Genomic DNA, 14179 nt, shown 5'->3' on the forward strand with positions numbered 1-14179 from the left:
TAATACAGGAAGCAATTACTGTGATGAATTATTATGCTATTAGTGTTTTGAAAATATTTAATGGGTCAGGTGCGGTGGCTCACGCCTGTAATCTTAACACTTTGGGAGGCCGAGGTGGGTGTATCACCTGAGGTCAGGAGTTCATGACCAGCCTGGCCAACAGGTGAAACCCCATCTCTAATAAAAATACAAAAATTAGCCGGATGTGGTGGCGGGTACCTATAATCCCAGCTACTCAGGAAGCTGAGGCAGGAGAATAGCTTGAACCCAGGGGGTGGAGGTTGCAGTGAGCCGAGATTGCGCTACTTCACTCCAGCCTGGGCAGCAAGAGCAAAACTCTGTATCCCAAAAAAAAGAAAAAAAATTACCTGGGCATGGTGGTGTGCTCCTGTATTCCCAGCTACTCAGAAGCCTGAGACAGGATGATCGCTGGAGCCTAGGAGTTTGAGGCTGCAGTGATCTAGATGAAATGACTGTAGTCTGTCATGGACAGAGCTAAACCCTGTCTCTAAAAAAACATCTACATTCTCTACTATAAGCATGAGAACTGCAAATTGAGCCATGGTGCATGCCTGTAGTCCCAGCTACAAAGGCTGACAGTGGTGGGAGGATTTGTTGAGCCTGGGAGCTCAAGACCAGCCCAGGTGTGATATAGTAAGACCTTGTGTCAAAACAAAAATTTTTTTTTTAGTGAATTGATTAGTTCAAGTGGCTCTGGTTTAAAAAAGAAGAAGAAGAAATAATTGGTGTAATTATGGCTTTTTCATCCTCACCAGACTGTATAATGTATAACCCCAGTAAAGGAATTTTCATGTAAATTTCATAAATTAGTTAGATTATTTTGTGTATATTTAATTTTATCACAGTCTGTTGCATTTTGAGGGTTTTTTTGTGTGTACACATATATGTTGTTATATATCTGTGTGTATGTAGTGAGAAAGAGTAAAAACTTCAAAATACAACCTGGTCAAAGTGAAAAAGTAAAATAATACAGTATTTAATATTTCCTGAAAGTATACCTTAAACTGTAATAAGTCATTGAAGCTTGTATCATTCATAGACCAGTGTTTAGCATGAAGGCTTTTTAGTTTTTTATTACTATTTTAAGATAATTTTTTTTTTCTGGCTCTATTGCCCAGGCTGGAGTGCAGTGGCAAGATCATAGCTCACTGCAGCCTTCATCTCCAGGTCTCAAGTGATCCTCCCATTTCAGCCTCCCAAGTAGCAGGGACTACAGGCGCATGCCACCATGCCCAGCTAATTGTTTTGATTTTTTGTAGAGATAAGGTCTTACTACCTTGCCTAGGCTGGTCTCAGACTCCTGAGCTCAAGTGATCCTCCTGCCTCAGTCTCCCAAATTGCTGAGATTATAGGAATGTGCCACCGTGCCCAGCCCTTTTTAGTATTTAAGTTTAAAAGAATCTAATTTACGTTAATTAAGTTTAGAAAATAGGTTGGGGTTTTTTGTTGTTGTTATTTTTAAGAAAATACTTTTTTTTAAATTTAATTTTCTTATTTTAGAATGGAGGAAAAATTACTGTCCCTGACAAAACTTCTCTAGAGTTGCTCTGTCAGGGATGTTCTGGTGATATCAGAAGTGCAATAAACAGCCTCCAGTTTTCTTCTTCAAAAGGTAACTATGGAAGATACAGTCATGTGGCATTATATAGGTGACTGACTTTCTCTTAATTCATTCAATGAAATCAAACATTTTAACTTACATTTGGTCTATACCTATTTATCCTTCTTTATTACTGAGACAGTGGCTTAAAATTAAATATATACACATGCATACATACCCTTCTATGAATATGTCGTAGTATATATCCTTGTTTCTGTTTGAGATAGTTTACCTTTCAAAGTTAACTTAGAACCAGATTTCCTGGATAAAAATTCTGCCTCTGCCACTTACCAGTTATATAGGCCTATGCAGGTGACTCTTATCTTTCTGTGCCTCTGTTTTCTCACCTTTTATGTGAGCACTTACCTCTTAGGGTTCTATGAAGAATATGTGAGGTGACACTATTATAGAGTGCTTCTTACAGTACTTGATTCATATTAAGTGTTCATAAATGGCCAGCCATTAATCAGTTTAATAATACTGTGCCGAGGTAGGTTTACTTTTGGAATTATTATTATTTATTTTGAGACGGAGTCTCGCTCTGCCGCCCGGGCTGGAGTGCAGTGGCATGATCTTGGCTCACTGCAAGCTCCGCCTCCCAGGTTCACAGCATTCTCCTGCCTCAGCCTTCTGAGTAGCTGGGACTACAGGCAGCTGCCACCACGCCCAGCTAATTGTATTTTTAATAGAGATGGGGTTTCACTGTCTTAGCCAGGATGGTTGCGATCTCCTGACCTCGTGATCCGCCCGCCTCGGCCTCCCAAAGTGCTGGGATTATAGGTGTGAGCCACCTCATCTGGCCTGAAATTATTTTTATAATAATTTATGAGATATGTTTAATAAATTTATTTCCTGTTAATGTTAAAAAGTATAAATTTATGAGATATGTTTAATAAATTTCCTGTTAATATGTAGAAAGATGTAGTAAAAAGATAGTTTCACTAATGGCAGTGAGTTACATTTTTACTGTAATGGTCATCGTTTACTGCATAGTCCTCCTTCAGAAGGCATTTAGCAGACTACTTAATGCTTAACGTTGATAATTGACATCAAAGAGTGGGCCAGGAACTGTGTTAGCAATTATGTTTTTTTCATTTAATTCTCATATCAACCTGATGAGATAGACAGTATTTTGATTCAAATCCAGATCCTGTGCTCTTTCTGCTGTTCAAGGTAGCTTTTAAGCCATGCACTCTTGAGTTCTAAATATTAGACTTAAAAATGAAACTTGGGTCAGGCATGGTGACTCATGCCTGAAGCCAAGGTGGGTGGATCACTTGAGCCTAGGAGTTTGAAACCAGCCTGGGCAACATAGCAAGACCTTGTCTCTACAAAAAAATTAAGGAAAAAAAATAAAAACCCAAGAAATGTGATCACATGCATATTCATAAATTGGATACTCTCAACATCAATAGAGAGGTTGTTAAACATAGATTGCAGAACCAGGCTGCCTGGATTCCAGTCATTCACTCACTGATGACCTTGAGCCAATGACTTTACCTCTTTGTATCTCATTTCATTAACTGTCTAATAATAATTGGTCAGGTGCAGTGGCTCTCGCCTGTTATCCCAACACTATAGGAGACTGAGGTGGAAGAAAGCTTCAACCTCAAGAGTCTGATACCAGCCTGGGCAACATAGCGAGGCCTCGTCTCTAATTAAAAATATATATATATATAGCCAGCATGGTGGTGCATGTAGTCCCGGCTACTTGAGAGGCTGAGGTGGGAGGATCACTTGAGCCTGGAGGTTGAGGCTTCAGTGAGCTATGATTGTGCCACTGTACTCCAGCCTGGGTGATAGAGCCAGACCCTGTGTCAAAAAAAAAAAAAGGCCGGGCATGGTGGCTCATGCCTGTAATCCCAGCACTTGGGGAGGCCAATTTGTGTGGTTGGGAGGTTGTGACCAGCCTGGCCAACATGGTGAAACCTCATCTCTGCTAAAAATACAAAAATTTAGCCGGGCATACACCTGTAATTCTAGCTGCTCGGGAGGCTGAGGCAGGAGAATCGCTTGAACCCAGGAGGCAGAGGTTGTGGTGAGCCGAGATCACACCACTGCACTCCAGCCTGGGCAACAGAGCGAGACTCCATCTCAAAAAAAAAAAAAAAAAATTCTCCCTTCACAGGGTTGTTATGAAGATTAAATTCCTATGTATTACATGCCAAGAACAGTATCTTGCACATAACACGATGAGAAACCAAGGCGATGTGACTGTACAGGTTGAATATCCTTTATTTGCAATTTTTGGGAATAGAAGGATTGCAGATTTTTTTAAGATTTTGGAATATTTGCATTATACGAATTGAAAATCCCTTGTCTGAAAATCTGAAATACAAAGTGCTCCAATGAGCATTTCCTTTGAGCATCATGTTGGCACTGCAAGTTTCATATTTTGGAGTATTTTGGAGTTTGAATTTTTTGGATCAGGAATGTCAGCCTATATTAGAGATTGTGCTATTGTGCATGTGAAAGTTTGAAATCTGCATTATGAAATAACTTTCAGATAATACTTTATTCCATTTTAATGTTAGTAACCCAAAGAGGATTCCAACTCAGTTAATGTCATTTATAATTTTTGTTTATTAGGAAAACAAATTGTAATTAGAATATTTAGTGTAACTATATCTGAAGTGTTCTTAGTTTTAATTTTCATATTTTAATTTAAATATTGTCACTTGGATGTATATTATTCAGGAGAAAACAACTTACGGCCAAGGAAAAAAGGAATGTCTTTAAAATCAGATGCTGTGCTGTCAAAATCAAAACGAAGAAAAAAACCTGATAGGGTTTTTGAAAATCAAGAGGTCCAAGCTATTGGTGGCAAAGATGTTTCTCTGTTTCTCTTCAGAGCTTTGGGGAAAATTCTATATTGTAAAAGTAAGAAATTTTTACACTTTTAAAATCTGTTGGATATCACATAGTCTTAAAATGGAAATAAAATGTCACTTTTAAAAAAATGTCATGTATTTTGGTTCTGCTCTAAGAGTTAGAGCTAGGTCAGATACTGTTTGCCTAGGCCTAAGACATAGTAGGAAATCAGAATATTTTCTGACCGTAAGCAGGATTAAAAGTAAAAACATGCAATTGCAGGCCATATCCATGTGTGTAAATCTTTAAAATTATAGTTTGCTGAAGGTAAGAGAGCAGATCATCTAGACTTGTAGTGGCAAGTGTTGGTAGCCTAAAGCCCTCTTAACACTGGGCTCCAGCCAACAGAGCCTTATACAAATTACCAGGTAGTTTAAGGTTTCTTTCAATCGTCTTGTATTTCTCTAATTTACAAGCGTTCTGTCTCCCCAACCAGAGATGTTTATCGCCTTTTCTGTCTTTTTTGATGACTGCTCCCCCTCAGTTCTTTCACTCCCTATTGCCCATTTTAGTGTCCCAAATAATCCCTCCTTTTGATAGCAAATGCCTGTTTTCAGTCTGATGACCCTAAAGGAAAGAAATTAGGATTTCTAAATGGAAACCTTCATACCATCTGAGGAAAATGGGCATCACTTAGGTGGCAGTGAGGACACTCCTCTGTCACTGGATCCTCTTACTTTGAACCTGAGTGACTATTCCCACCTGATTCTTTTCTTTCTCTCCTTTCTTTTCCTCCCCAACATACGTTTATCGTCTCTTGCATTAGTGAATGGAATTCGTATTCTTTCATGTAGAGAGCAACATCTTCCTACATAGTAAATAAAAGAGTAAAGACCACTGTATTGAGATGAGAAATCAAGGGAAGAAAGCAACCCAAAGCTGAAAAAGGTGAAATGGGAGTGCATTAGGAAATGGAATATTTTAAGTCTAGAGAAGCCATAATCTAAGCATCAGAATTGTTAATTTAGTTCTTGCTAATGTGGAAAAAATAGGTGCTTGCTTCCAGTTGTTTTTTATTTATTTATTATTTTTTAACAGTTTGTTACTATGTTGGTATTGTATGTCTAAAATTTTCAAACTCTTCAAATGAGAGGTGCTATATAATTATAAAGAAGGTATTATCTTTAATAATTCCAGAAATTTTTTATAGGAGCATCTTTAACAGAATTAGACTCACCTCGGTTGCCCTCTCATTTATCAGAATATGAACGGGATACATTACTTGTTGAACCTGAGGTAAGTTCTTTGATGACACTTAGTATAGGTTACAAAGGATATATTATTCGTGTGCATATATATTTGACCATTGCATTTTTACCAAATTTATGTATATATGCTTCTTTTTATAGGAGGTAGTAGAAATGTCACACATGCCTGGAGACTTATTTAATTTATATCTTCACCAAAACTACATAGATTTCTTCATGGAAATTGATGATATTGTGAGAGCCAGTGAATTTCTGAGTTTTGCAGATATCCTCAGTGGTGACTGGAATGTAAGACCATTTGACTTAAAATGTTTATGTTTATAGTATTTCCTTAGAATTAAGAAAAGAAAGTTTACTTTTATCCCTAATTGCCTGACATTATTTTATGTGACTTTTCTTCATAACTATGCTAAAGTTAATGTAACCAACTCAGTGTTTATAATGAAGCTTCAGTAGCAAATCTGATTTTTCTGCTGATAATATAGCACCAATTGTTTCTAAAGTTATTTTCTTTTTTTCTTTTTTTTCTGTGTGTGTGTGTAGAGACAGGGTCTTACTGTGTTGCTCAGGCTGGTCTCAAACTCCTGGGCTCAGACAGTCCTCTCACCTGAGCCTCCGAAAGTGCTGGGATTACAAGCGTGAGCCACCACACTCCTGTCTCTAAATTTTCTGATTTTGTGTTTTGTGTTATGGTGGTTTTTTTTTTTTTTTTTTTTTTTGAGAAGAGGCTCTATCTACAGCTATGTTACCCAGTCTGGTCTTGAACTACTGGGTTTAGGGAATCCTGTCCTCTCTGCCTTCGAAGTAGCTAGAAATACAGGCACACACCACCATGCCCAGCTTATTTTTTTTTTTTTTTCGAGACAGCGTCTTACTTTTTTGCCCACGCTGGAGTCCAGTGGTACAAACATGGTTCACTGCAACCTTGACCTTCTGGGCTCAAGCGATCCTCCAACCTCAGGCACTCCCCATCTAGTAGCTGGGACTACAGGCAAGCACCACTATCCTTAGCTAATTTTTTTTTCTTTGTTTTAGAGACAGGGTTCACCATGTTACCCATGCTGGTCTCCAACTCCTGAGCTCAAGCGATCTGCCTGCCCTGGCCTCTCAAAAGTGCTGGGATTACAGGAGTGAGCCACCATGCCCAGCCCCAGCTTATTTTCTGATTTTAAAATTAATACATACTCAAAATATGACAACCATTAAGAAGTAGATACAAGAGAAAGAACTGTACATGTTGCTACACTTTCTGCTAGTTTTTAAAATTTATTTCTTTTACATATTTGAAACTATTTACCATAAAATTTGTATTTTGTTCTTAACATCTTAACACTGCCCTTACCAGTACAACAGCCACCAACCACATGTAGCTATTTACATTTAAATTTAAAAATTCAGTTCCTCAGTCATACTAGCCACATCTCCAGTACTTGATAACTGCATGTGGCTGATGGCTACTTTATTGAACAGCCCAGATACAAAACATTTCCATCATTGCAGGGCGTTCTGTTGGACGACACTATTTTGATACGTTAATATTTCTGTGTGCTATAAATATTAAAATAAGGCCGGGCTCAGTGGGTCACACCTGTAAACCCAGCACTTAAGGAGGCCGAGGCAGGTGGATCACTTGAGCTCATGAGTATGAGACCAGCTGGGGCAATGTGATGAAACCCCATCTCTACAAAAAAATACCAAGAAAATTGTTTGGGTGTAGTGGTCCCAGCTACTCAGGAGGCTGAGGTGGGAGGATGGCTTGAGCCTGGGAGGCAGAGGTTGCAGTGAGCTGAGATCACACCACTGCACTCCAGCCTGGGCAATAGAGCTGGACCTTGTCTCAAAAAATTAAAAAATTGAAATAGCAGTAATAAGTAAAATTAGGAAAGACACAGAAAAACCATTTATGTTATAGAGCTTCATTACTCAGCAGTTGAATTTGCTTAACTTTTAAAATAATTGTTTCTTTCTTATTTTGAAATTTTCCATCCTATAAATAAATTAAAAGGATAGTACAATGAGCCAGGAGTGGTGGTTCCTGCCAGTAATTCTGCACTTTGGGAGTCCAAGGCAGGAAGATCACTTGAGGCCAGAAGTTTGAGAACAGCCTGGGAAACACAGCGAGACCCCATCTCTAGAAGAGATTTTAAAAATTAGCTGGGTATGGTGGCATGCACCTGTAGTCGTAGCTACTTGGGAGGCTGTGGTGGGAGAATCACTTGAGCCCAGGAGTTTGAGGTGGTAGTGAGCTGTGATCGTGCCACCACATTCCAGGCTGGGCAACAGACTGAGACCCTATTTTAAATAATAATACAAAATAACGAAAAGAGTATAATTGACTTGTTTGTGACACCAAGGATAAATGCTTGAGGTAATGGATACCCCATTTAACTTGAGGTAATTATTACACATTGTATGCTGGTATCAAAATGACCCCTGTACCTCATAAATATATACAGCTACTAAGTACCCACACAAATTAAAAATTAAAAAAAAATGATAGTACAATGAATAGCTGCATATCCTTAACTTTTGTTTAGCAGTTTGCATATTTTGCCACTTTTTCTTAATCTCTCTATATATTTACGTATTTGTTTCTGGCTGAATAATTGGAAAGTATTAGTAATTGCGAACATCGTGACACTTAAGCAGCATAAGGACATTGTTCTATTACAACTACCATAGCATTATCATACCCCATTGAAACTAAAATATAACTAGTTGATATAACTGGCCTCTCAAAGTGCTGGGATTACAGGCGTGAGCCACTGCGCCCAGCTGCATAGTCATATTTTAGTTTCAATTATATTTTAGTTATATTAACTAATTAGTTACATTAACTAATTAGTTATATAATTAAGTTAACTTTCCAGAGAAACTTCACACTAATCTAGCAATATATTGTCCCTATTCAGATTTCCTCATTTGCCTCAAAAATGTATTCAAAGTTGTTTCCTCCACCCCTGTCCAAGATCCAGTCAGGGTTTACACATTTAATTTGATGGCTATGTCCCAGTGGAATTTGCTTTAGATAAGTTTATAGTGCTGTTATTTATAGGGCTGTAGTGATGTTGAAGAAAGTGAACACATAGAAACTAAATACGGTTAGTATTTTTGTATATATCAGGAATACCAGTAATGCTCTTTTATAAATCTATTTTCTTTCACATCTTGTCTCATTTGTTAGACACGCTCTTTACTCAGGGAATATAGCACATCTATAGCTACGAGAGGTGTGATGCATTCCAACAAAGCCCGAGGATATGCTCATTGCCAAGGAGGAGGATCAAGTTTTCGACCCTTGCACAAACCTCAGTGGTTTCTAATAAATAAAAAGGTAAAAAAAAAAAAAAAAATTCTGTACTTTCAATATGTGAACTTTATGGTACGTGAATTATAACTCAAAGCAGTTATTTTCTTTAAAACATAACAAAGGAAAAAATATTTCATTTTTAATAAAATAGTTGCTAAGGTCCACAATTAGATTCTGAGTTTTTATAAAACATAAAAAGGTGACTCTTAAATGCTTGTACAATTTTTTAAGGGAAAAAAGACCATCACAATTTGAAAATATTAGTTCAGTTTTATTGGAATCAAAGCGTAGTTACATTTTATTTTATTTTTTATTTTTTTATTTTTTGAGACGGAGTTTCGCTCTTTTTGCCCAGGCTGGAATGCAATGGCATGATCTCGGCTCACTGCAACCTCCGCCTCCCGGGTTCAAGCAGTTCTCCTGCCTCAGCCTCCCAGGTAGCTGGGATTACAGGCGCCAGCCACCACGCCTGGCTAATTTTTTGTATTTTTAGTAGAGACAGGGTTTCACCATGTTGGCCAGGTTGGTCTCGATCTTTGGACCTCATGATCCTCTTGCCTTGGCCTCTCAAAGTGCTGGGATTACAAATGTGAGACACCATGCTCGGCCATATTTTATTTTTTATTTTTTATTTTTATTCAGACAGAGTCGTTCTCTTGCCTAGGCTGGAGTGCAGTGGTGCCATCTCTGCTCACTGCAACCTCTACCTCCTAGGTTCAAGCAATTCTCCCACCTCAGCCTCCTGAGTAGCTGGGATTACAGGCATCTACCTCCATGCCCAGCTAATTTTTGTATTTTTAGTAGAGATGGGGTTTTGCCATGTTGGCCAGGCTGTTCTTGAACTCCTGACCTTAAGTGATCTGCCCGCCTTGGCCTCTCAAAGTGCTGGGATTACAGGCATGAGCCACTGTGCCCAGCTGCATAGTTATATTTCAGTTTCAATTAAAAACAAACTTTAGGGCCAGGCATGGTGGCTCACACCTGTAATCCCAGCACTGTGGAAGGCCAAAACAAGAGGATCACTTGAGCCCAGGAGTTTGAGACCAGCCTGGTCAACATAGTGAGATCCCATATCTACAAGAAAAAGAAAAAAATTGTAAATAAATAAACCCTAGTTCAACCTGAGAATGCTGATTGGAAAATAGAAATCCCTAGTATATAAAATTTCAGTTAGGCAGGAGGAATAAGTTTTTTTTGTTTTTGGTTTTTGAGACGGAGCCTCGCTGGCCAGGAGGAATAAGTTTTAAGTTCAAGAGATATGTTGTATAACATGGTGACTATTAACAACAATGTGTCATGTATTTGAAAATCATGGCCGGGCATGGTGGCTCACGCCTGTAATCCCAGCACTTTGGGAGGCTGAGGCGGGCAGATCACGAGGTCAGGAGATGGAGACCATCCTGGCTAACACGATGAAACCCTGTCTGTACTAAAAATAAAAAAACTTAGCCGGGTGTGGCGGCGTGCGCCTGTAGTCCCAACTACTCTGGAGGCTGAGGCAGGAGAATGGCGTGAACCCAGGAGGCGGAGCTTGCAGTGAGCTGACATGGCGCCACTGCACTCCAGCCTGAGAGACAGAGCGAGACTCCATCTAAAAAAAAAAAAAGAAAATCACTAAAACGGTAGATTTTAAGTGTTCTCACCACACACAAAAAATATATGTATGTAAGGTAATGCATATGTTAATTGGCTCAATTTAGCCATTCTACCATATATACATATTTCAGAACATCATGTTGTATACCTATAAATACATACAGAGCTTATTTGTCAATTTAAATTAATCAAAGAAAGGAGAAGAAATCTTGGCCTTGCCTCTATATGGACAAGGTATTCACCTAATGTGTTCTTACTCTCCACAGCTAAAAATGTAGATGATTGAATTATTTAGAGGTAAAAAATGGGAGGCACACAAGTTGAAAACAAAATACACAACAGTTTTCAAAATGAATTGCCAATCTTTAAAAATCAGACTAATGATTAAAAGTCAGATATGAATTTCGGCTGGGCGCTGTGACTCACACCTGTAATCCCAGCACTTTTGGGAGGCTGAGGCGGGCAGAACACAAGGTCAGGAGTTCGAGACCAGCCTGACTAACATGGTGAAACCCCATCGCTACTAAAAATACAAAAGTTTGCCAGGTGTGGTGGTGCGCTCCTGTAATCCCAGCTACTCAGGAGGCCGAAGCAGGAGAATCGCGTGAACCCGGGAGGCAGAAGTTGCAGTGAGCCGAGATCATGCCACTGCACTCCAGCCTAGGCGACAGAAAAAGACTCTGTCTCAGAAAGAAAAAAAAAAAGTTAGATATGAATTTCTAGCTTCAGAATTTCTGGAATCTCCTGGTTAAAAAAAAAAAAAAAAAAAAGAGGCCAGGTGCAGTGGCTCACACCTGTAATCCGAGCACTTTGGAAAGCTGAGGTGGAAGGATCACTAGAGCCCAGGAGTTTGAGACCTGCCTGGGCAATATGGTGAAACCCCATCTGTATAAAAAAAAAAATAATAAAAAAATTAGCTGGGTGTGGTGGCAAACACCAGGAATTTGAGACCAGCAATATAGTGAGATCCCATATCTACAGGAAAAAGGAAAAATTTTTTTTGTTTTTCCTACCTAGTCCCAGCTACTTGGGAGGCTGAATTGGGAGGATTGCATAAGCCTGGGAGGCAGAGTTTGCAGTGAACAATGATTGTGCCACTGCACTCCAGCCTGGGCAACAGAGTGAGACCCCCATCTCTCAAAAAAATGAAAGTGAAGTATAACACTGGCTCATATTTCTGCGTAGCAACAATCACCTCGCCATGTAGCATCTGCCCCTTTGAGATGAGAGTAGTAGGCACCACTGTCCCCAGCTGGTTCATTCACTTATATTGCCTGCTTGACTTCTGTAATATCTGAATTCGTGACCCCTGGACTGGGTCGTCTCTGAGATGTCTTCCAGTTCTAAAATCATACAGCTGAAAATTACCCTATAATTTATTACCTAGGACATTTTTTCCAACAGATTTCTTGGAGAATTTAATGACTTTTAAGCAATTTATATCTCATTGACTTGCTTTGTCTTTTATAGCATATATATTAATTTTGCATTGTTGCTGCATATAAATTATCTAAGACTGTTAGCTTCTTGAAGGCAGGGATTGTGCTTTTCTCTTGCTCAGCATAACGTGTTGACTAAAGAAAACAAATTATTTCATTGAAAACTATTTTCGTGTAATTTATGATGTGTGTGTGCTCATAAACAATTCCTTTGAGTTTTAAATTTGGTTTTCTTATACATTCAATGTCTTTTAAAAATTGTTGTTTATTAAATGTGGAATAGTTGTGTAGGTAAAATACTTTATTAAACGATGCTAAAAAAACTATAAAGGACTACTTAAATAAGCTATTAAAAGTATATTTGTGATATATAAACCCACAAGTTAATATAAACTTATTGTGTAAGTTTATATAATAAACTTAGTTTGTCTAGGAATACATATTTTTAATTTCATTTTTCCTTTCATCTTTTTTTTTTCTTTTCTATACAGTATCGGGAAAATTGCCTGGCAGCAAAAGCACTTTTTCCTGACTTCTGCCTACCAGCTTTATGCCTCCAAACTCAGCTATTGCCATACCTTGCTCTACTAACCATTCCAATGAGAAATCAAGGTAATAACATAGGTTTTTCTTTTCTTTTAAGAAGTAGGGTTTATTTATTTATTTATTTATTTTATTTTTTTAGGGGGAGTCTCTACTGTCCAGGCTGGATTGCGGTGGCACGATCTCGGCTCACTGCAACCTCTGCCTCCTGGGTTCAAGCAATTCTGTTCCCTCAGCCTTCTGAGTAGCTGGGACCACAGGCACGCGCCCCCACACCTGGCTAATTTTTGTATTTTTAGTAGAGATGGGGTTTCACTGTATTAGCCAGGATGGTCTCGATCTCCTGACCTTGTGATCTGCCTGCCTCGGCCCCCCAGAGTGCTGGGATTACAGGTGTGAGCCACCGCACACGGCCAGAAGTAGGGTTTTATAGCAATATCTTTTTGTGGGCCAATTTATTGCTATATGCAGTGAGATACTTTTTTTCCTTTTATTTTTTGATCCAGATAATTCTGGATCCTTTATGTTTTTTTTTTAAAACGCATCAAACAGGCCAGGTGCAGTGGCTCATGCCTGTAATCTCAGCACTTTGGAAGGTCAAGACAGGGAGATCACTGGAGGTTAGGAGTTCGAGACCAGCCTGGCCAACATGGTGAAACCCTGTCTCTACTAAAAATAAAAAAATTAGCCAGGTGTGGTGGCATGCGCTTGTAATCCCAGCTACTCGGGAGGCTGAGGCAGGAGAATCACTTGAACCCAGGAGGTGGAGGCTGCAGTGAGCCAAGATCGCACACCTGCACTCCAGGCTGGGTGACAAAGTGAGGTCTGTCTCAAAAAAACAAAAAGCATCAGATGATACAGAAATATATAAAGAGCCGAACGTGGTGGCTTATGCCTGTAATCCCAGCACTTTGGGAGGCCAAGGCTGGGAAACCCCATTTCTACTAAAAATACAAAAAATTAGCCAGGCGTGGTGGCACGCGTCTGTAATCCCAGCCACTCGGGAGGCTGAGGCAGGAGAACCTTCAACCCCGGAGGCGGAGGTTGCAGTGAGCCAAGATCAGGCCATTGCACTCCAGCCTGGGCGACAGAGCAAGACTGTCTCAGAAAAAAGAAAAAAGTTTCTAAAGTAAAAATTGAAAGTACTTCCCCTACAACCACAGGTTGCTTTGACAGATTAATGTAAATTCTTCCAGATACTCTTCTGTGGATGTAGAAACATGCAGAATGAGGCAAGCTTTAATTTGCTTATGTCACTTACTGTGGATAGCCTTTCATATCTTATAAGTTAATGTCAGAGCAGCAATCTCATTTTTTTCCAATTTGTAAACATTTTATTTAACCTTATGATGGATATTTTGGTGGATTTCAGTATTACAAAAATGCCTATTAATAGTATTTTTCATTATATTTCTGTTACGAAATTATAATGCTACAAACATTACTATGCCTGTGGCAGTATACATCTGCACAAGTTTTGAAAATGTTATGCATTCATAGGCAAAAATGGGATAACTTTTGGGCAGTGGTCATGATTAATCTGTTGATCAGAATCCAGAGATTGCCCTTCTCCTTGCCAATTGCTTTAAGA

The 14179-nt window shown here is 39.0% G+C and overlaps 1 protein-coding gene across 17 annotated transcripts in view; it reads left to right on the plus strand.

Annotated features, from left to right (window-relative positions):
- RAD17 (RAD17 checkpoint clamp loader component) overlaps window positions 1-14179 on the plus strand; it is a 45509-nt gene that overhangs the window by 18220 nt on the left and 13110 nt on the right. For all 17 annotated transcript variants that reach the window (NM_133343.2, XM_017009681.2, NM_133338.3 and 14 more), the window contains 6 exons: window positions 1522-1633; window positions 4319-4501; window positions 5643-5728; window positions 5842-5988; window positions 8885-9034; window positions 12537-12657. In NM_133343.2, the coding sequence (NP_579921.1) occupies window positions 1522-1633; window positions 4319-4501; window positions 5643-5728; window positions 5842-5988; window positions 8885-9034; window positions 12537-12657 (799 nt within the window). The remainder of the gene's footprint in view (window positions 1-1521; window positions 1634-4318; window positions 4502-5642; window positions 5729-5841; window positions 5989-8884; window positions 9035-12536; window positions 12658-14179) is intronic.

Source organism: Homo sapiens, chromosome 5, assembly GCF_000001405.40.
Source record: "Homo sapiens chromosome 5, GRCh38.p14 Primary Assembly".
NCBI classification, from domain to species: Eukaryota; Metazoa; Chordata; class Mammalia; order Primates; family Hominidae; genus Homo; species Homo sapiens.